At 37.0% G+C, this 22956-nt stretch overlaps 2 protein-coding genes and 1 long non-coding RNA gene across 3 annotated transcripts; 2 read left to right on the forward strand and 1 right to left on the reverse strand.

Annotated features, from left to right (window-relative positions):
• Nucleotides 1-9136, forward strand: OR5H14 (olfactory receptor family 5 subfamily H member 14). The gene is made up of 2 exons (NM_001005514.2): nt 1-76; nt 1890-9136. Exon 2 carries the CDS (start codon nt 1908-1910, stop codon nt 2838-2840), a length of 933 nt encoding a protein of 310 aa, NP_001005514.1. The 5' UTR covers nt 1-76; nt 1890-1907; the 3' UTR covers nt 2841-9136.
• On the reverse strand, nt 426-20372 carry LOC105373996 (uncharacterized). The gene is made up of 3 exons (XR_924253.2): nt 20291-20372; nt 18309-18463; nt 426-686 (listed from the first exon to the last, which is right to left on the reverse strand). It is a non-coding gene; the product is annotated as an uncharacterized LOC105373996 (long non-coding RNA).
• Nucleotides 19218-22296, forward strand: OR5H15 (olfactory receptor family 5 subfamily H member 15). The gene is made up of 2 exons (NM_001005515.2): nt 19218-19353; nt 21204-22296. The coding sequence occupies exon 2, from the start codon at nt 21222-21224 to the stop codon at nt 22161-22163; it is 942 nt and encodes a 313-aa protein (NP_001005515.1). The 5' UTR covers nt 19218-19353; nt 21204-21221; the 3' UTR covers nt 22164-22296.
• The last annotated feature ends 660 nt before the right edge of the window (nt 22297-22956 follow it).

Consider the following 22956-nt stretch of genomic DNA (forward strand, 5'->3'; position numbering starts at 1 on the left):
TGTTACTGTGTTTTTTTTCTGTTTTAGAAAGTGTAACACGTTTAAAGGATATCCACAATTTCTTTCAAAAATATGGGTAAGGAAGAAATAATTTTTGTAATTTTCATTATGCTTTATAGAAATGTTGAAATGCTATTTAATTGATTGAAATTTTTGATCAGGTATACAAGCTGTCAAAATAGCCAGAAGAAAGTTGGGTAACTATTACTGTACTGTCTTTAGATTTCAGTTTTATGACTATACTATGGATAGGGTAAATAGTTATAAGACTGAATTGTTCCTTTAATGATATTGTATTATCTTGTTAATCTTGTTATAATAACTTCATATGATCTAGATCATTAAACAATTAAAACTTGGTTTAAAGGTTCAGATCATAATGATTCTTAGAATTTCTTGGAATTATTCTGATATAAGTACCCATTCCTTTTAATTAACTACACTCTCTGATTAAAACTTTTAAGATGAGTCACCTACAGATAAACTCCTGTATCCTTACACCCACATTTGACAATAATTTGACAGCTCACACTGTAAATGTTATTGATGTAAATAAAGGTACCTTTAAGTAGGGTCCTGGTAATTCTGCCTTGGCTACCTTTGAAACCAAAACCTTTCTGTGTCTCCATATTCCAAATGTAGGATCAGTGTGTTTCATTTGCCATCCTAGATCATGTCCCTTCACTCTACAAGTAAGAAGAATGGGAAAATGAGTTTCTAGTTCTTTTGGCTTCTAAAGCAGTAGATAACCTCCAACAGCTGCCAAGTCTTGGATGGCAAAAAAGATCACATCTTGGCTATTTACCAGACATATGTCCACTTTGTTACTTCTTCAATATAACTTGCTCCAGTTGACTTTCTTGTCACTCTTTTTGTTTCTTTGTTACTCTCCAATGGATCATTTTTAACTGTGCCTTTGACTATCACAATAATTCCAAGTAATTATTTCTATTAAGCTCTAACAGGCTCATATTGCTGATTGGATCTCACCTAGTTGACCACATGATGCTCACTCCAAGAACTTGCCAGCACATCTGAGTTCCCATCTTCAATAGTTAATGACCAATTACCCAGTCACCAAGTGACTCTTATCTCCTTTATTACCACTTCTTCCCCACCAAATATGTCACAGAATACTAGAGAATCTACATTCTGGATTCCTTGGAATCTATTTCTTTGTCTTACCATCTCTTCCAATGTAATATCACACATGGACTAGACATCTAGCATTCATTTGAATCATCTTGAGGGTATTTTTAAATACAGATTTCTAGAACTCATTTCTGAAATAATCAATTTCTACATTAAAATCTCACAATCTATATTTTTCATAAAACACCCTCCCAGATAATTTTTATGTGTGATCTGGTTTGGGATTGCTGGAACCTTAGTAACAAGTTTCTAATTAGTACTCCTTAGTCCAATTTCCCCATCCCGCAGCATATTTTCTACACTATCAAAAATTTTAAAAAATGTTATGATGGCATTTCCCATCTGAAAGTATTTGGTGCATTCTTATATTACGAAATATAAAGTTTAAGATTCTTCACGTGGCATTTATTTCATCTGGATATTCACTTATCCAGACATTTCAAAAACCTATTCCCCAGGACCTCCATTCATGTACCAGACACAGGATTGTTCTACCACATTCAAGACTGTGCCCATAAATTTAGTAAATCCAGAGTATGCATATTACTACCAAATTTTCAAACTAAAATATGACATTTTTTTCATTTCTTTAACCCCTTATAGGATTTCTTATTTATAATAATGATCAAAAAATTGAGTCTCTGATAATTGCACACTTTATATCAACACCTCTTTCCCAATTTCAACTCATAATGTCATTGCAGATGTTCCCTTTCATTTGTTGCATTTTATTTTAGAGGACATGCAGTGAGGACATGGAAGAGGAAAATGCAACATTGCTGACAGAGTTTGTTCTCACAGGATTTTTATATCAACCACAGTGGAAAATACCCCTGTTCCTGGCATTCTTGGTAATATATCTCATCACCATCATGGGGAATCTTGGTCTGATTGCTGTCATCTGGAAAGACCCTCATCTTCATATCCCAATGTACTTACTCCTTGGGAATTTAGCTTTTGTGGATGCTTTGTTATCATCCTCAGTGACTCTGAAGATGCTGATCAACTTCTTAGCTAAGAGTAAGATGATATCTCTCTCTGAATGCAAGATACAGTTGTTTTCGTTTGCAATCAGTGTAACCACGGAATGTTTTCTCTTGGCAACAATGGCATATGATCGCTATGTAGCCATATGCAAACCCTTACTTTATCCAGCCATTATGACCAATGGACTGTGCATCCGGCTATTAATCTTGTCATATGTAGGTGGTCTTCTTCATGCTTTAATCCATGAAGGATTTTTATTCAGACTAACCTTCTGTAACTCCAACATAATACAACACTTTTACTGTGACATTATCCCATTGTTAAAGATTTCTTATACTGATTCCTCTATTAACTTTCTAATGGTTTTTATTTTTGCAGGTTCAATTCAAGTTTTTACCATAGGGACTGTTCTTATATCTTACATATTTGTCCTCTATACAATCTTGAAAAAGAAGTCTGTCAAAGGTATGAGAAAAGCCTTCTCCACCTGTGGAGCTCATCTCTTATCTGTATCTTTATACTATGGGCCCCTCGCCTTCATGTATATGGGCTCTGCATCCCCACAGGCTGATGACCAAGATATGATGGAGTCTCTATTTTACACTGTCATAGTTCCTTTATTAAATCCCATGATCTACAGCCTGAGAAACAAGCAAGTAATAGCTTCATTCACAAAAATGTTCAAAAGAAATGATGTTTAGATCATTACTAATATCTCTTTTCTATTTACTAAAATGTCACAAAATTGTGCAAATTAGAGGTACCTATGTTTTTGCCAGCATTAAAAGATTTTGCAATTATAACTGTCCTAGCGCTTTAATGACCTATGATATAAGCACCTATTTAACTAATTAAAATATTCCTATGTTATTCAAAAGGATTTGAGAAATTTTAATCAAGTCTTCATAATAGAATAATGATAGCAGAAGCAAATAAAAATATTGTACAGTATGGTATGTTAATCACTGTGTCTTATAAATGCATTAAATGCAAAATAGTCTAGTTTATCTGATAAGCACTTAAGTATGATGTTTTTGATACTAACACAACTGTATGACCCGAGACGTCTATCACATTTATCTTCATAGTGAATGTTGATGTGTGTTTAGAGGAAGACAGGTAGATCCCAAGAATTTTGCTAGCTTTCAAGAGGTCTTTCATTCCACTTAATTGTAAAAGAGTGAATTTCACTTCTTGTAGGAAGTCAACTCATATATCAAATAAAGAAGCAGAAATGGAAATGCAATTAGGACAAAATGAGAAGTGTTTAACAGTGAAGGCACTGCCAATGTGCAAGAGGGCAAGAGGATGCTGTTAACTCTCTGTGCTTGTATGAGTAAGAACCATGCAGCCTCTAACTTCCTAAGATGGCTTCTAAGGCACTTTCCAGCTGTGATTGTGTTTTCAGAGAATCTGAAAAGCTTCCCTAAATCAGAAAATTAAATGAAAAAATAGAACTTAGTTTAAAGTGGGGATAGAAAAGAAAAGATAAATGGCATAGTGGGAAGAAAATGGTCTTAATCTTCCCAGAAAAAAAGATGAAACTACTAAGATTTTAAAAACCAGTGATGTTACAAGGTTATTGGAATGCGTTATTGACAATCAGGGGCTTTAAATGCATATCATCAAAGTTCAAATTATCTTAAGATGATATGACATCATAGTGCCCAGTGATTGGAGAGAAAAACATGAAAATGAGGAAGAGTTCGGATATTTTCTACTTCAAAAAGTCCTTATTAGTCTTCTTCTCACTTCATATTCTTGAAGTATGTGAGTCATCCATCTGCCATTCCACTCTGCCCTTCATCTTTCGACACTGAAATTCCTTTCACTTTGTCACTGATACCGAGACCCTTATCCTAAGCATTACTCACATATCGTTTTGCAAACCTCTAGTTATTTCCTCCACCCTTCTAGCACTCATTCATTCCCCCATTTTGATGTCAGATTGTTTTTTCAACTCTTTCAATTTTCTTTTGTTGGATCATCATTGCTACCTGATTATACGTACATGTGTTTTAGGTGTCAATATCTATGTATACATACACTTATGTATACATGAGAGGAGAGAAAGGCTTTTGTTGATTTAATGCGGAAGTACGTTAAAAAGAAACTTTTTTGGCTAAAGTGGAGCAGTAGCGTTATTTGGATTATTCCAGTAGAAAGTTCCTACTTAGAGGTGAGTTGATGGTTTCTGATTGGTTAAAGTAAACTTTTGTTAAGAACCTATCATCAGAGTGAACAGGCAAACTGCAGAATGGGAGAAAATTTTTGCAATCTGTCCATATGACAAAGGGCTAATATCCAGAATCTACAAGGAGCTTAAACAAATTTACAAGAGAAAAACAAACAACCCTATCAAAATATGGGTGAAGAATATGAACAGACAGTTCTCAAAAGAAGACATTTATGCAACCAGCAAGCATGTGAAAACCTTGTCATCACTGGTCATTACAGAAATGCAAATCAAAACCACAGTGAGATACCATCTCACGCCAGTTAGAATGGCAATCATTAGAAAGTCAGGAAATGTTAGATGCTGGAGAGGATGTGGAGAAATAAGAACTCATTTATCCTGTTGGTGGGAGTGTAATTAGTTCAACCTTTGTGGAAGACAGTGCGGTGATTCCTTATGAATCCGGAGCCAGAAATACTATTTGACTCAGCAATCCCATTACTGAGTATATACCCAAAGCCTTATAAATCCTTCTAATATAAAGACACATGCACATGTATGTTTACTGGAGCACTATTCACAATAGCAAACACTTGGAACCAACCCAAAGGCCCATCAAGTATAGACTGGATAAAGAAAATGTGGCAAATATACACCATGGAATACTATGCAGCCATAAAAAAGAATGAGTTCATGTCCTTTGCAGGGACATGGATGAAGCTGGAAACCATTATTCTCAGCAAACTAACACAGGAACAGAAAACAAAACACTGCAAGTTCTCACTCATAAGTGTGGGTTGAACAATGGGAACACATGGACACAGGGAGGGGAACATCACAAACTGGAGCCTGTCAGGGGGTGGAGGGGAAAGGTAGGGAGAGCATTAGGACAAATAACTAATGCATGTGGGACTTGAAACCTAGGTGACGGGTTGATGGGTGTAGCAAAACGCCATGGCACATGTGTACCTATGTAACAACCTGCACATGTATCCCAGAACTTAAAGTATAAAGAAGAAAAAAGTTAACATTTTCTTTACCATTTACTATGAGTTGGGGTTTCTGTGTGCTTAGGTAGAAACCCATTTTGCTGGAGCCACCTCAGCCCAATGTACTTCAATTTAATTATTTTAACTATTTTCTCCCTTTTGTTTCACTTCTCAATTATAGGATACTGACCAACACTCAGGCACATGGAGCACTTTCTCACCACCAGAGCTTGTCTTTGTCTCAGCATGGAACTCATAAGTTACAATTTCTATTCTCTTAAAGCAGTGTTTCTTTTATTGGACACTTTGTTTTTGCCATGTTAATCATATAGAGAAAATCTGGCAACCGTCATGGCTATGAACTTGCATTTCAGACTCTTGAGAAAATACAGCATACCAGCAAGATTACAATGATGACCCCTTGAGGAAAATACCAAGGAACTGGGGAGTACTCCATAGTCAAAGCACCCATGAACAAAATCAACAGAAATAAAACAAATAAAAGTTAATGGTTATAGGCTAGGCACAGTGGCTCACGCCTCTAATCCCAGCACTTTGGGAGGCCGAGGATGGCGGATCGCTGGAGGTCAGGAGTTCCAGACAAGCCTAGCCAACATGGTGAAACCCCATCTTTATGAAAAATGCAAAAAATTAGCCGGGCGTGGTGGCAGGTGCCTGTGATCCCAGCTACTTATGAGGCTGTGGCAGGAGAATCACTTAAACCCAGGAGTGGGAGGTTGCAGTGAGCCGAGAAGGCACCACTGTACACCAGCCTAGGGAACAGAGTGAGACACTGTCTCAGAAAAAGAAAAGAAAGTTAGTGGTTATAGCAATCTATAAACTTAGTATCTAAGCCCAGAGGGCATTTAGTTGAGAAGATTTTTAGATTTTAAGCTCAAAGCATCTTTTGATGATGGGACAAAATGGCAGTTGCAATCTGTTGATTTTTCTGTTTTGCAGTCTGAATGTCTCTGATTATGTTATTGGATGTTTTGGTGAACTTTTTAGCAGCCAGCTCAGTTGCATGTATGAAGATTGTCCTCTGAAGTTTATATCAAGTTGTCCAGACCTAGCTTGCAGGGCTTCAGGAAAAGGGCAATGTATAGGTAGATAAGAAAACTCAAAGATAACAGACAGAACTTGAATTTAATAATGAATGCACTATAATTTTCTACTGAAATATATTTTCAAATATTTGAAAATGTTTGACAGATCATCAGCTTCCCAGTGTAGCTTTTGTTTTGTAACTAGGTTAATGAGTTGAAGGTGGATCCCACTGATGAATAGGACAAGTATTTTCTATGCCTGAACTCAACATGAATTGACCAGAATGTTTTACAAATCATACTTTTAATTTTGCCTTATAGTCAGAGATTAATTCCTGTTTTGTTTATAAGATTACATGTCAGACCAGTGGATTTTTGAGGAAATACTTTGTGAATGGATTCTAGAGGATTATTTGTTATTTTCCCAACCCTTTTTGTTCCTTTTCTGGAAGATTGAGGGGTTGGATCTTTCCTGTCTACCTTAGGTACCTCACGTTTGGCTTCAGCTATAGGATTAACCAGGTTAAAGTATCATGTTACTAAATTGATAAAGATCAGGGAGTCCTGGATTATATAATCCTGGAAGAATTCTAAATTCCACAGAAAATGTCTGGCACTTTTGTTTGGGACAAGGATATTTTTCCCTATTGCTCTCAGCCCAGATTTTGACCAAGGTGTAAAGGTGGTTAAAGAAGGCAGGCCTGGTTCATCTGAGGACGTGACTTTATAAGGCATTTATCTAGTTTCCTTTATTTTAATGGGTGAAAATGTAACTGAGCAAAAGGCTTAGTAGATGCAGAGTGACAAGATAGAGTATGATAGAATGAAATATAGTTGAAACCACCTTTGCAAAAATGATGACAGAAAAATCTCACATAGGAATATTATGACAGTGAATCTGAAATAAGAAAATCAGGCAGTGCTTCTAATCTCCAAGCTGCCCTTCTTCATTCCTGAGTGTAGGTCCAACTACCTCTGGGAGGAATTTATAGTTTGATTTTGAAACAAAGATGGTAACAGTCTCTCCTCAAAGCAAACTTCCTCCTAGCTTGGGGATCTGACCACCTTTGTAAAACTCACAGATTATCACAAGATTAGAAATTATGGCTCCTGATCATCATGCAACTGGAGGCCATGGAATTCTAACCTTCCTAACTGCTCCCACAGATAATATTCCTATTGTGAAATCTAAGATTGGTGTTCAAGGTATTTTGTAGATCCTGAATTCTGATAAATCAGCTGGCAACATTCAGAATGGTAAAAGGACTCCTCTAGTTTTGTGACCACCCCCCTGCTGCAGGATCCACAAGAAGACAGTTTTAACCCCTATGATTTTATCCCCAACACAACCAATCAGCTTTCCTCATTCCTTAGACCGCTGCCCAACAAACCGTGTTTAGAAAACCCTACCCTCTGGATTTTTGGAAAGGGTGATCTGAGTAATAATAAAACTTGAATCTCCCATTTAGCCAATTCTATATGGATTAAACTCTCTATTGTAATTCCTCTGTCTTGGTAATGGGCTCTATCTAGGTGTCAGGCAAAAAGATCTCATTAGGTGGTTCCGTACAGAGAGGGAGCAGTTGGAGTTAAGTCAGTCAATGATCTACACCTAGACTTTCTGGAAATTATATATAAACTAATCCGATAGAATGATAGAATGCCATTATGAAGTTATAGTGACAGCACCAACTAGGTGGCAAGGCATTGCAAGATTGTCTTTGTTTTTATTTTTTCCTCCCCCTGATGTTTGCCTGTTAACATTTCTCAACAGATTTCAGCTCACCTGGAAGTTAGATATATGTCTGGAGTTTCAGCTGCAGTTTGAAGGAGGAGGACAATTTTACAAGTTTACTTGGGGTTGCCTTCTGAAGGGAATCTAGATCTTTGGCCTTATTAAAATCATATTTTGACCAGCTCTGATGAGACCATATTAATCACAGCATTCAAAGCATCCTATTTTATGTACAAACTGAAGTGTGCGTAAAATCTCAGAAGTGTTATGTGTTGTGGATAATAGTGGCATAAAGTGTAATTTCAATTGTTAAAACCCAAACTGGGTACAGTGACTTAATATCTATGTTTCTAAACTCTGCAATACCCTGCAGGATAATCTGTATTTCTTATACACATCTAAATCCACAATGCCCAGTTGAAGATCTTCACTTTGTCCTACAGGAAAGCCTAAGATGCTCTCAGGGGAATTTCAGTTCTCTGACTTTTTCTCTCCTGGTCAAAACGGAGATATACAATTGGTCAGCACTTTTGTTGAAAGCAAATTTTTACAAACATTTTTCTAAGACTGGAAATGAAGCCTCCAAAATGCATCAGTACACAAAGAATTGCTGCCTGTGTTATTATCAGATATGCTCTATTATGTATTTTTCTCTGCTTTAGAAAGCCTAATACTTTTAAAGGATCTCCATAATTTCTTATGATATTAGTAAAAGAGAAATTATTTTATCATATCCACTATTATTTTTAAAGAAATTTTAAAATGCTATTTAATATATAATGTTTGTATTTGGATCACAGCATGCTAAGATTGCTGGGAACAAATGGAACCAAGAAGAGTGAAGAATCTTTGTATCTCATTATTATGGTTAAAATCTTGACAAGCAAAATACCTATAAAATAAGTTTTTAATGATAATTCATTATCTTGTTAACCTGACTATAATGATGTTATAAGTTCTGGCTAATTAGAAGCTTAAATGTTTTAAAGCTGGGTTTAAATCTTCAATTCATTGTGATTGTTATATAGGATACTTTTCTGATGGTTGTGATGTAGTTTCATTCTCTGTAATCACACTCTCCAATGAAAACTTTTAGGATCTGTCTATTAAATATTATCTCCTCTATACCTTCACCACTTCTTTCAATAATTTCATTGATTACTTCTTATACATGGTGCATAAATATATAAAGAATTAAATATGTAGAAATATACATTTTTCATATTGAGCATTTTAGATCTACATGGTAATACTAGTAATAGTTATAGTGTATGTGTATCTATGCATATACCTCAGAAAATATGCAGAAAATGTACTTCCCTAACCTTGTTAGCATTTATGATTTTAAAAGTACCCCAAAACAAATTGAATTTTACAATTTGTCACTATTTTGTAATTTGGGATTGCATGAAAGGAAACCAATGCCTTATAAAAATTTACAAGTGGAATTACTGTCATTTGTTTATTACAATGTTTGTATTAGGATCCAGTCTTTGTCTTACTTGATTCTGCTAAATCAAAGAAAAAAAACTGACAGAGAAGAAAGTGCTCCAAAATCAGCAACATTTCTTGAGAAATTTAGTTTTAATCACTGTAACAGTAAAGATAAAGCAACATTTAAATATGGAGTAAACTTTCAGACAATGCCGATATATTCATGAACAGTGGAAAATTGATGGGAAAAAATTATAGTCAAAGTTGTTTTATAATACACAAATTGCATAGCAAAATAAACTTTGATTTTTTTTTAAAAAGGAAAATGAAAAGACCCCCGGGGCTCTCTGTAGTCTTCACGAACAGCAGAGTTAATGCACAGATTCAACCCAAGCTCCTGAGCCCTTCCCTCTATTTTGCCTTAGTATATCTCTGACACTTCCTCTCTCTCTTTTTGTGGCTTGTTTTTTTTACACTTACCCACCTATGACTTCATTATTCTCTGTCTATTTTTCTTCCTCATTCTTGTTGTACTTCACCAACCCACACAAATTTCCCTTATTCCTTTTCTCCGCTCGACGTCATCTTCTCCTCTTCTCTCAATTGTCTATCTTTACTTTTGAGAACTGTACTTAAATATTCCACAGAAGGAAAAAATATTAAATTATTCTATGAGCAGTAGACAAATGCCAACTGTTCTCCACATGTCGTAGAGTACTCTAACTCATCCCTTCACCGTTGCGCTGCTTGTCTCCCATTCACTTATTTGCAGACCATTATTCTATTACGTATGGGAAATGGTTCTCACTAACGCCACTAAAAATCACTTAATTTATTTCCTTTTTTCTTTTTTTTGAGATGAAGTCTTGCTCTGTCTCCCAGGCTGGAGCGCAGTGGCACAATCTCAACTCACCGCAATCTCTGTCTTCCGGGTTCAAGAGATTCTCCTGCCCCAGCCTCCTGAGTAGCTGGGATCACAGGCACCCTCCACCATGCCTGGCTAACTTTTATTTTTTTTATATTTTTAGTAGAGATTGGGTTTAACCGTGTTGGTCAGGCTGGTCTTGAACTCCTGATCTCAGGTGATCTGCCCACCTTGGCCTCCCAGAGTGCTGGGATTACAGGTGTGAGCCATTGCGCCAGGCAAAAAACAAACAAACAAAAATCCTTAATTTCTATACACAGTGATTTCCCTTCACTCCTTGTCCTACTAGAGCATTTATTTTGTCATTTTCCCCTATATATCACTTCGTCACACTTCATGTTTTCCCTCTCTATGTCCACAACACTCAGCTTTTTAGTTCCCTCTGACTTCTTCCCTTCAACACTCTGCTCAGTATCCTTTTCTCTTGTCTCCCTGGTCTCTCTTTTGAAAATCCCAGGGCTTTGGGTTGCAACAGGAAGTAAGTTATTGAATTGATATTTACCACTGAAATCACAGTGAAGTTGGAGAAGTCAGCTGGACAGTATGGCAGCAACAGGAGGAAGCAAAACAGCCAGTCAGCAGCCAAAATCTTATTCCAATAGCAGCTTCATGAGGGCGGTTGTTTCTGCTTCTGTGCTTCCAATGACACAGCTTACATTTTCAAAGGCATTGTTCTAGATGCAGGATGCATGTGATGGGATCTTGATATTTTTGCCTCAACTGCCTTTGCACTAAGTTTTTTTTTGTTTGTTTTTGTTTTTTGTTTTTTTTTTATTCCTTTGCATTTGTCTCCATCTATCTCCAGATCTAGGATGGGTTTGGTAGGAAAATCTAGGTGAAATCCTTTGTCTGCCACAAAGAGTCATGTAGTAGAAAAGTGTTTCAGGTTTTAGCCATCTCATGGATGACATGCATCCCTTTCATAACCTTTTAACATAAGTATCTCAAGTGTTTTGTTTCGTTTTTTAGGAAAAAGTTATCTTTTTTTCAGATATGAAAGTTACATATGCAGGTTTGTTACATGTGTATATTGCATGCAGGTTGTGACCATAGTACCCATTACTCCCTATGCTCTCACCACTCCAGTAGTCCGCAGTGTCTATTTTTCCCATGTTCATTTCCATTTGTGTTCAATGTTTATCTCTGGCTTATAAGTGAGAACAAATGGCATTTGGTTTTCTGTTCCTGCATTAGTTCGCTTAGGATTATGGGCTCCAGCTGCATCCATACTGCTGCAAAGGACATGATTTTATTTTCATGTCCTTTGAAAGTTTTAGTATTTTATGCTGTGTATGTACCACTTTTTTTAATCCTATCAACCACTGATGAACCGCTGATGAACAGCAAGATTCATTTCCATGTCTTGCTATTTTGAATAGCATGGCAGTGAACATACGAGTGCATGTGTCTTTATAAACAAAAAAACCATGGTACTGGTATGAAAACAGGGACATAGGCCAATGGAAAAGAGCAGAAAACTCAGAAATTAATCCATACACTTAAAACCATCTGATCTTCAACAAGGATGACAAAAACAAGCAGTAGAGAATGGATCCCATATTCAATAAATGGTCCTGGGACAACTGTCTAGCCATATGCCAAAGTAAAAAAGTGGACCCTTAACTTTCACCATCTAAAAAAGTTAGTTTGAGATAAATTGGTGTTTAAATACAAGACCTCAAATTGTAAAAATTCTACAAGATAACCTAGGAAATGCCCTTCTTGACATTGGCTTTTGTAAAGAATTTTTGGCTATGTCCCAAAAGTAACTGCAATGAAAACAAAAACTGACAAATGGGTCCCAGTTAAATGAAAGAGCTTCTGTGCAATGAAAGGAACTATCAATAGAGTCTACAACCAACCAACAGAATGGGAGAAATTATTCACAAACTATGCATCTAACAATGTGCTAATATTCGTAATCTATCTAGAAGGAACTTAAATCAGCAAGAAAAAAACAGATAAACCCATTATTAATGGGGCAAGGGACATGAACAGACATTTCTTAAATGGAGACTTACAAGTGGTCAGCAAATAATGAAAAAATGCTCATCATCACTAGTCATCAGAGAAATGCAAATCAAAACCAAAATGAGATACCATCTCACACTAGTCAGAATGACTTTTTTAAAAGTAAAAAACCAACAGATGCCAGAGAGGCTGCGGAGAAAAAGGAGTGTTTTTACATTGTTGGTGGGAATGTGTATTAATTAGTTAAGCCATTGTGATTAGCAGTCTGCAGATTTCTCAAAGAAAGTAAAAAAGAGCTACCATTTGACCCAGCAATCCAATTACTGCATGTAGACCAAAAGATAATTACATCATTATACCATCAAGTGTTTTTTCTCTTTGCTATGTTTCTGTTTCTTTGTGTACTCTGCAACAGATAAAACATGCATAACTATAGTCTCCACTATTCCAATGACCCACAAATTATTTTTTCTCTTACTCTAGTAGAATTATATTACTAATACTAAACAGCTCACCTACATGTTCAAGGCATGTTCACACCACATGCTTGTCAATGCATCTGAGTCCTCAGTCTCTGTTTTGGATGACTATCTATTCACAAAGTGACTCCTTTTTCCTTCACTGAATACTGCTTTCCAACCAAATATATAACTAAGTCCTAGTGATGTTGCATTGTGAATTCTTCAGAATCTATTTCTGAATCCTCCTCATTATTGCCAATGTTCTATTACACAGGGATGAAGCAATTTGTTTATTTGCCTGTTGATTCAGAGGAATAAAGAGACCAGAGTGACCTGGTGGCAGTCTTAACTTCTAGCTCAATGGAATCACCGTTTTATCTCCTAGTATAAGCGGTCTCTTTTGGAGCTAAGATTTCAAGGCAAGAAGAGTGCAGTAACAAGAAGCAAACTTTTCTAGTGAGTCATTAGATTTAGTGAGTGGGTCCACTCCTGTTTCCACCATTTTGATTTCTAGGCTCATGAATCCAGCTCACAAGAGAAGTAGCAACATATATTGAATGTGAATCCAGATAATATATGGCATTCTGGAGAACCTTGCTCCAGCCCTGCAAATTATTACCACCTAATTGGTGCTGTAAATGAGTTCTCAAAAAGTCATTTCACAATTCTATTATACTGGCTGTCTCAGGATGGTGGGAAACACAGTAATATAGTAAGACCAATGAATTCCATGAACTTGGTCCCATTGCTCCAGTTCATTTGCTGTGAAGTGAGTTCCTTAATCAGGAGGAATGTTGTGTGGAATACCATGACAGTCAAGAAGGAAGTCCATGGATGGTAACTTCAACCGAAGCACTGTGCAGAGGGAAGACATTTCTGTATCCAGAGTAAGTATCTACTCCACTAGGAACAAAACACTGCTTCTTTCATGATAGAAGAAGTCCAATGTAATCAACTTGACATCTAGTTTAATGATTATGGATTGGGGACTCAATGTTAGCTTCTTTTGCTGATTGATTGAGCACCTCGCAGTGGCCCTAGACAGGTTGGCTTTGGTAAGTGGAAATCCATGTAGCTAAGCCTAGGCATAACTTCTATCCCTATCACCACAGCCACCTCAGGCCTACTGGTATCCATAGATCGGTCATTCTATCTGCTTGATTATTAAAATTCTCCTCAGCTGAGGATTTTAATAATCAGGAGGATACATTGGTGAACATCCACATGAGCTACAAGTACTGTCTTAGTCCATTTGTGCTGCTATAGCAGAATACCATAGAGAGAGTAATTTACAAGAAACAAAAATGTACTTTTTCAGAGTTATGGAGGGTAGGAAGTCAAAGATCAAGATGCCATCAGATTGGATTTTCTGGTGAGGACTGTTCTCTGCTTCCAAAATGGCTCCTTCTTGCTGCATCCTCTTGAGGGTAGAAACACTGTATCGTTACATGGTTAAAGGTGGAATGGCAAAGCAAACTGAAGCCTCTTTTATAAGGTCCTTAACACCACACAAAATGGAAGAAGCCCTCATGACCTAATTACCTCCTAAATGTACCATCTTTAAGAGGTCATGTAAAGAGTACCATCACACTGGTTAAGTTTTAATAAGTTAATTTCTGAGGGAAAACAAACAATAGCATTCTGCTCATGGCTTCCCAAAATTCATATCCTTGTCATATACAGAATACATTAAATTCTATCCTAACAGCCCCAAACTTTTAACTCATTTCAGTATCAACTCAAAAGTCTAAAGGCTAAAGTTTCACCTAGATACCATCTAAATCAGATATGAGTAACACATAAAGAACGTTTCATTCTGAGGTAAATTACTCTGTAGCTATAAACCTGTGAAATCAAACAAGTTACATGCTTCCAAAATACATGATGGGCCTGGCAGAGAACAAATATTTTGATTCCAAAATGGAGACGTAGAAAAGAAGGAATAACAGGTCTCAGTTACATCCAAAACCTAACAATGCAAACAACATTAAATCTTACGGCTTCAGGATAGCCTTGATGTTATGTCCCACTTTCCAAATACACCGTGTTAGGGGTTGCATCAATAAGGCTCCTGGTTCCTCACCTCTCTGTCTTTGTTGAGTGCATCCTACACCGCAGCTCCTATGGATTGCAGTCCAGTGCCTGTAGTTCTCCCAGGATGCCACTGTAGCTAGTGGCTGTACAGGCCTGGCTTCTGGCTTCTGGCAGCTCTGTTTCCAAAAGATCTACTGAAAATTGCCGCACTTGGGAGTCTCTGTGGTGGCTCTGACCCTGTGACAGGTATCTGCTTGGGTGTTGAGATTATCTGAGGCATCTTCTGAAACCTAGTGGAGAAATCCATGTGTCCGTTCTGCATGCTTGTAAATTAGCATCACATGGATGTCACCAAGGCTTACAAATTCTGCAGTCTGGGGCAGTAGCTTGAGCTGCAGGTGGGCCCAACCTGAGACACAACTCAGCTGGCAAAGGAGTTCTCTGTCATAATGCAGACAGCACAGACTTGAGGTGGCCCTGGGCAGTGAGTCCCAAGTTCCCTTCAAGGTCCTGGCACTCTGGGACTGTAATACACATGGCAGGCTTGAAGATCTCTGAAAAACTTTTGGAGTCATTCTTGCATTGTCTTGATGAATAGCAGCTATCTTTCTTCTATTATAAAGAGACTAATATCATGATCAAATGGTCACTTGGTCACACCATTGGCTTTCTTTTTGGAACATCCATCATTATTCTTTACATGGCCAGGCTGAAAATTTTCCAAATCTTTACATTCTCCTTCCCTTTTGATGACAAATTCCATCTTTTAATAGCTCCTCTCTCCTTGCATTTTACTATAAGCCATTAAGAGAAGCCATGCAGCACCCTCAACACTTTGCTGCTTATAGATTTTTTCTGCCAAATATTATAATTCATTGCACTTAAGATTTGCCTTCCATGAAGTCCTAAGACACAGACACAACTCGGCCAAGTTCTTTGCCACTTTATATCAAGGAGAGTGTTTCCTCTAATTTCCAATAACATAGTCCTCATTTCCATCTAAGACATCATCAGAATTTTGTATTATCGATATTTCTACCCACATTCTGTTCATGACCACTCTAGTAATCTCTAAGAAGAATGAGGCTTTCCCTACTGCTCTTCTCTTGTGAATTCTAACCAGACTTGTCCTTAATGCTTCATTCCTGAAAAATACAGGCTTTTTCCATCATTCACTTTCAAAACTGCTACAGCCTCTACTCATTACCCTTTTCCAAAGACATTTCCACATTTTAGGTATTTGTTATAGGAACACTCCACTTTTTGATACCTATTTCTGTCTTGGCCTATTTGTGCTGCTATAACAGAATGCCAGAGACCGAGTAGTTTATAAACAATGAAAATTGTATTACAACTCTAGAAGCTGGTATTTTCAAGATCCAGATGCTGGCAGGTTTGGATGTCTGGTAGGGGTCCCCTCCCTGCTTCTAAGATGATGCCTTGAAAGCTCTTCTGGAGGAGAGGAACACTGTGTTCTCACGTGGTGAAAGGCAGAAGGGCAAGGAAACTGAAGGCTGTGTGAAACCTTTTTTATAAGGGCTTTAGGCCCATCAACAAAGAAAGAAGCCCTTATGACCTAAGCACCTACTAAAGGCCCCACCTCTTAGTACTATCACTCTGGCCATTGTTTCAACACCTGAATTTTGGAGGGGAAACATTCAAACTATAGCAGATATCTACATAATTTATACCCGGTTAGAGACATCTCTCCAAGCACCTTGCCTCAAATTTCCTTGTCACCAGTATTCTAATTATGCTCCTTCCAAGTCCCTGGTCATCCAGCTTAACCATTAGCCATAGCCCATAAATACATATATATTCACACATTTATTCATTTCTTTAAGTAAATTGAAAAACCAAGTACGTAATTTCCAATTTTTCTAACTGGGAGGATTTCCCTTCACCACTGTTCTTCATAAATGTTCCAGAAAGGAGCTGTAGTACTGCAGCCACCTACTTTGGGCAGTGCCTGAATATGTTGTACAATCATCGGTATCCAGGTCCACGTCTTCTCTTCTGCTCTCAATTGATTGTAAGAAGCTCCTTATGAAGCTATCACTGAAGGCTTGCAGAGATAAGGCAGTGTAGCAGGGGTAGGGCCCATGAGCATTTGGGCCTCTTCTTCATATAATTTACCTTTGTGTTAGTCTGTTTTTGCATTGCTATAAAGAACTATCAGAGACTGGGTAATTTATAATGAAAAGAGGTTTAATGGACTCACAGTTGCACAGGCTGTAGAGGAAGCATGGTTGGGGGGGCCTCAGGAAACTTACAATCATGGGGGAAGGTAAAGGGGAAGCATGCATGTTGTACATGTCCAGAGAAGGAGGAAGAGAGAAAAGGCGGGAGGTGCTACACATTTTTAAACAACCAGATCTCATGAGAACTCACTATCATGAGAACAGCAAGGTGGAAGTCTGATCCTATGATCCAATCACCACTTACCTGGCCCCTCTCCAACATTGGGGATTGGAATTCAACATGAAATTTGGGTGTAGAAACAAACCCAAACCATATCAACATCCATAATCCAAGTGCAGGTTATTTTACTTCTTTAGTGAATACTTTTACTGTCAAGAAAGTTACCTGTCACTATTTAAATATGAAATATAAATATTACAAGTAAGTAAATAAGATTTTATTTTCTGAATGGATGCTTATTGAGGTATTGCTCCTCACAAGAGAGCATTAGCTGCGGGGATCTGCCCACAGACCCTGACCTAAATGACAGATGCCTAAAATGTACACTGACACACAGATATTCTGCTTTGCCAGTCCAGCTGAGTGTCCGACCGCCAGCACACCAAGAGAGGTTTTTACTGGGGCCAGCCCTGAACAGCTCACACTCCAGGCATTTATTTAGTATACAATTAACAACAGAAGCTTTGAGTAAACACACTGGAGGATAATTAACATCGTTAAGAGAGTAGTTCTACCAATGATTAAAGCTCAGGTACCATGGTCTAAAGTAAATACCATTTGGGGGCAATATCCCTGGTCGACCCTCCCTCCCCGGCAGAGGGCCATCTAACTCAAAGGTTAGTTAATGGAGGTAGGGTCAACAGACTTAACTGGGGAAGCCTCTGTTGTCCTTAGTATTTACCTTATGACCTAATGCTCTAAGGTAAGAACCGGCTGCCTTCAGCCTGTTCAATTATTACAAGCTATGTAACCTTTCGGCCTTCCAAAAGTTTTGTGACTATTCCCTACAACTTTCCATAATATTTCCCTTTAATATTTCTGCCACCATCCGGAGTGAATCCCAGCTCTCACTAATATGTTATTCTCTTAATGCTCTAAAGAAAATTCTGAACATGCTATCACCATTCTCAAAATTGTTTAATAATACTTCATTGGTTTTTGTGTAAGTTGGGGTAAAGAACATATCCTTGAATTACCTTCTGAGTCTCCTTGAGAGCCTCCCCACGCTGGCCTCCTTGAACACACCTGGTCCTTCCCTGCTTCTCACTTTTCATACCAGCCACATTTACCACTTATTGTTTCTGCAATGATGAAGGCTCTCTGATAATCTAGGTCTTCCCATGATGAAGACCTGTTGGATGCAAATGTCCACAGGCATCACTTTGTTAGAAATAAAGGCTCCTGAGAGACCCACACCAGAACTGCTGAAATAGAATCTGCATTTTGATAACATCACTAGGAAAGTCATAGGCATTATAGTTTGAGAAGCACAGACCTAGGACACCTTCCACCGTAGTCCCTGGCTTTGTTTTACGTTTTCTCCTCCCTTGTCCTCTTCCTAGTAAAATTTCCCATCAGGTTTAAGTTTAAAATGGGGAAACTACATATATGTCTAAAATTTGAGCTGAAATTTGCATGGGAAGGACAATTGTATTTGAGGTTGCTCCAAAAGAGGTTCTGGAATTTTGGCCTTATTAAAATCATGTTTTGATTAACTCAAATAGGAATATACTAATTAAAGCACTAACACTATATTTCACATATAAACTAAAGTTTGAACAAACATGCAAAATTGTCATCCATGGTGGTAAATAGTGATATAAAGTGTTACTTCATTTGTTAAAACTAGAAGTGTCTACAATGAACTGATGTTTGTGATTCCAGAAGTCTGTAATGCCCTTGGGGACAACCTGGACTTATACATGTGCAAACACACAATGCCCATTAGAACAGCTTCAATTTTTCCTACAGGGAGTCCTCTGACACTCTTATGAGAATTTCAGTTTTTCACTCCTTCCTCCTCTGGCAAAAGTCCCCAGTTGCACAACTGGGTCACTTATATGCTCAAACCAAATTTAATAATCAACATTTTTCTATGCTTGGAAAATGAAACCTTCAAAAAGCATGAGTACGTAATGAATGGCTACCTGTGTTATTGACATTGCTGTGCTACTGTATGTATTTCGGTTTTAGAAGGCGTAACACATTTAAAGGATATCCACAATTTCCTTCAAAATATAGGTAAGGAAGAAATAACTTCTAAATTTTCATTATGCCTTATAGAAATGTTGAAAATGCTATTTAATTCATTAAAATTTTAGATCGGGTATACAAGCTGTCGAAATAGCAAGATGGAATTTGGATAACTCTGACTGGATTATTTTTTATTTCAGTTTTACGACTATAACATAGATACGGTAAATAGTTGTAAGACTGAATTATTCTTTTAATATTTTACTATTTTGTTGATCATATTATAATGACTTTGTATGAACTAGGGCATTGAACAGCTAAAACTTGGTTTACACATTCACATCATAATGATTCTTATCTTGGAATTATTGCTGATTATTTTGATATAAATACCCATGCTTTTTAACTAACCACATTCTCTAATTAAACCTTTTAAGGTCAGTCACTTACATATGAACTCCTTAAACCCATGTTTGTCAATAATTTGACAGCTCACACTGTAAGTGTATTGATATGAATAAAGGTTGCATTAAGTAGAGTCCTGGTATGTCCACCTTGATTACCTTCAAAACCAAAATCTTTTGTCCCTGTACTTCTCTCTCTCTCTCTCTCTCCATATTCCAAATGTAGGATCAGTGTGTTTCACTGGCCATCCTAGATCATTGTTTCCTCACTCTAGAGGCAAGAAGAATGGGAAAATGAGTTTCTAGTTCTTTTGGCTTCTAGAGCAGTAGGTAACCTCTGATAGCCACCAAGACTTGGATGGCAAAAAATAAGATAACATCTTGGCCATTTACAGGACATATGTCCACTTTGTTAGCTCTTTAATATAACCTGCTCGAGTTTATTTTCTTGCCATCTTTTTTGTTTCTTCATTACTCTCCAATGGATAGATCATTTTTAACTATGCCTTTGACTACCACAATGAATCCAAGTAATCATTCCTACTGAGATTTAATAGGCTCATATTATGATCGGAAAATACCTAGTTGTCCAGATGATGCTCACTCCAAAAACTTGTCAGCACACCTGAGTTCTCAATGTTTAATGTCCATCTTGCCAGTCACCAAGGGACTCCTCTCTCCTTTACTGACCACTTACTTCCTACAAAATATGTCACAGAATACTAGAGACTCTACATTCTGAATTCCTTAGAATCTATTTATTTGTTTTACCATCTCTTCCAATGTTATATCTCACAAGGACTATACATTTAACATGCATTTGAATCACCTGGAGGGTATTTTCAAAATGCAGATCCCTAGACCTCATTCCTGAAATAATTTCTACATTGAAAGCTCACAACCTATATTTTTCATGAACACTCTGTCAGATAATTTTTATGTGTAATGTGATTTGGGATTGCCTGGACCTTACTAAGAAGTTTCTAATTAATATCCCTGAGTCCAGTTTCCTCTTCTTGCAGCATATTTTCTACACTATCAAAAACTAAATTTAAAAATATATTAGAATATAATTTCCCATCTTAAAATTTTTGGTACATGCTTAACGTATAAAGAATAAAGCTTAAGATTCTTCATATGGCACTCATTTCATTTATTTTTAATTCAGACCCTTCAAAATCTTTTCTGTTGACATTGTATGATGGGCCAGACACACAATTTTTCTACTGCACTCAATAGTGTCCATATAAATGTAGTGTATACAGAGAATGCCTCTACTTTTACCTAAATCAGTTAATTACTGCACAGTTTCAAACCAAAATATATCATTTTCATTTCTTTAATGCATCAAATACACAATTCATCAGTTGTAGGACTGATCAAAAAATTGAGAGGGTTCTGATCATTTTAGGGTTTATTTCAACATCTCTTCCCCAATTTCAACTCATAATGTCATTGCAAATCTTCCCTTTCATTTGTTGCATTTTATTTTAGAGGACATGCAGTGAGGACATGGAAGAGGAAAATGCAACATTGCTGACAGAGTTTGTTCTCACAGGATTTTTATATCAACCACAGTGGAAAATACCCCTGTTCTTGGCATTCTTGGTAATATATCTCATCACCATCATGGGGAATCTTGGTCTGATTGCTGTCATCTGGAAAGACCCTCACCTTCATATCCCAATGTACTTACTCCTTGGGAATTTAGCTTTTGTGGATGCTTGGATATCATCCACAGTGACCCCAAAGATGCTGAATAACTTCTTAGCTAAGAGTAAGATGATATCTCTCTCTGAATGCAAGATACAATTTTTTTCCATTGCAATTGGCGTAACCACAGAATGTTTTCTCTTGGCAACAATGGCATATGATCGCTATGTAGCCATATGCAAACCTTTACTTTATCCAGCCATTATGACCAATGGACTGTGCATCCGGCTATTAATCTTGTCATATATAGCTGGTATTCTTCATGCTTTAATCCATGAAGGATTTTTATTCAGACTAACCTTCTGTAACTCCAACATAGTACATCACATTTACTGTGACACTATCCCATTGTCTAAGATTTCTTGTACTGATTCTTCTATTAATTTTCTAATGGTTTTTATTTTCTCAGGTTCAATTCAGGTATTCAGCATTGTGACTATTCTTATATCTTACACATTTGTTCTCTTCACAGTCTTAGAAAAGAAATCTGATAAGGGTGTAAGGAAAGCCTTTTCCACCTGTGGAGCCCATCTCTTCTCTGTCTGTTTATACTATGGCCCCCTTCTCTTAATGTATGTGGGCCCTGCATCTCCGCAAGCAGATGGTCAAAATATGGTGGAGCCTCTATTCTACACTGTCATCATTCCTTTGTTAAATCCTATCATCTACAGTCTGAGAAATAAGCAAGTCATAGTTTCATTCATAAAAATGTTAAAAAGAAATGTTAAGGTTTCATACTAATATCCTTTTTCTATTTACTAAAATAGTCACAAAATTACGCAAGTTAGAGGTACCTATGTTGTTTCCAGTGTTCAAACATTTTTGCAAGTATAACTGTCCTAGCACTTTAATGACCTAACATTTTAGTACCTAATAAACTAATTAAAATATTTATATGTTATTCAAAAGCAATCAAGAAATTTTCATTGTGTTCATATCATAATAGAATAATGATTGCAGAAAGTAAATAAAAGTATTTAACAGTTTTATGTGTTATTCACTGTGTGTTTATAAATGCATTAATTGCTAAAATAGCCTAGTTTATCATATAAGGACTTGAGTATGATGGTTTTGATACTAATACCACTGAATTACCTGAGATGCCCCTCACATTTAACCCATAGTGGAGGCAAATTTGTTTTTGAGCCAGCAGAGGTAAATCCCAATAATTCTGCTAACTATCAAAGGTCTTCCATTTCACTATCTTAGGAAAGGGTGAATTCTATTTCTCACAGGAAGTCTACTCACAGGTCAAGTAACAAAATAAATGGAAATGGAAATGCAATGGGAAAAATAAAAATAGAAGGAGTTAACAGTGAAGGAACTGCCATAGTGTAAGAGCATGCTCTTAACTGTGTATGCTTGTATGAGTAGGAAGAGTCAAGCCACCTCTAACTTTCTAGGATGGCTTCTAAGGCTCTTCCCAGCTGAGTTTATATGACTTTACACAATTTGAAAAACATCCCTAATTCATGAAATTAAAAGATTAAATAGAATAACTACATTTAAAGTAGGCATAGAGAAGAAATAAGTA

This window comes from Homo sapiens, chromosome 3 (genome assembly GCF_000001405.40).
Source record: "Homo sapiens chromosome 3, GRCh38.p14 Primary Assembly".
NCBI lineage: Eukaryota > Metazoa > Chordata > Mammalia > Primates > Hominidae > Homo > Homo sapiens.

Coding starts and splice junctions, on each gene's coding strand:
- OR5H14 (NM_001005514.2), top strand. CDS start 1,908: ATGGAAGAGGAAAATGCAACATTGCTGACAGAGTTTGTTCTCACAGGA.
- OR5H15 (NM_001005515.2), top strand. CDS start 21,222: ATGGAAGAGGAAAATGCAACATTGCTGACAGAGTTTGTTCTCACAGGA.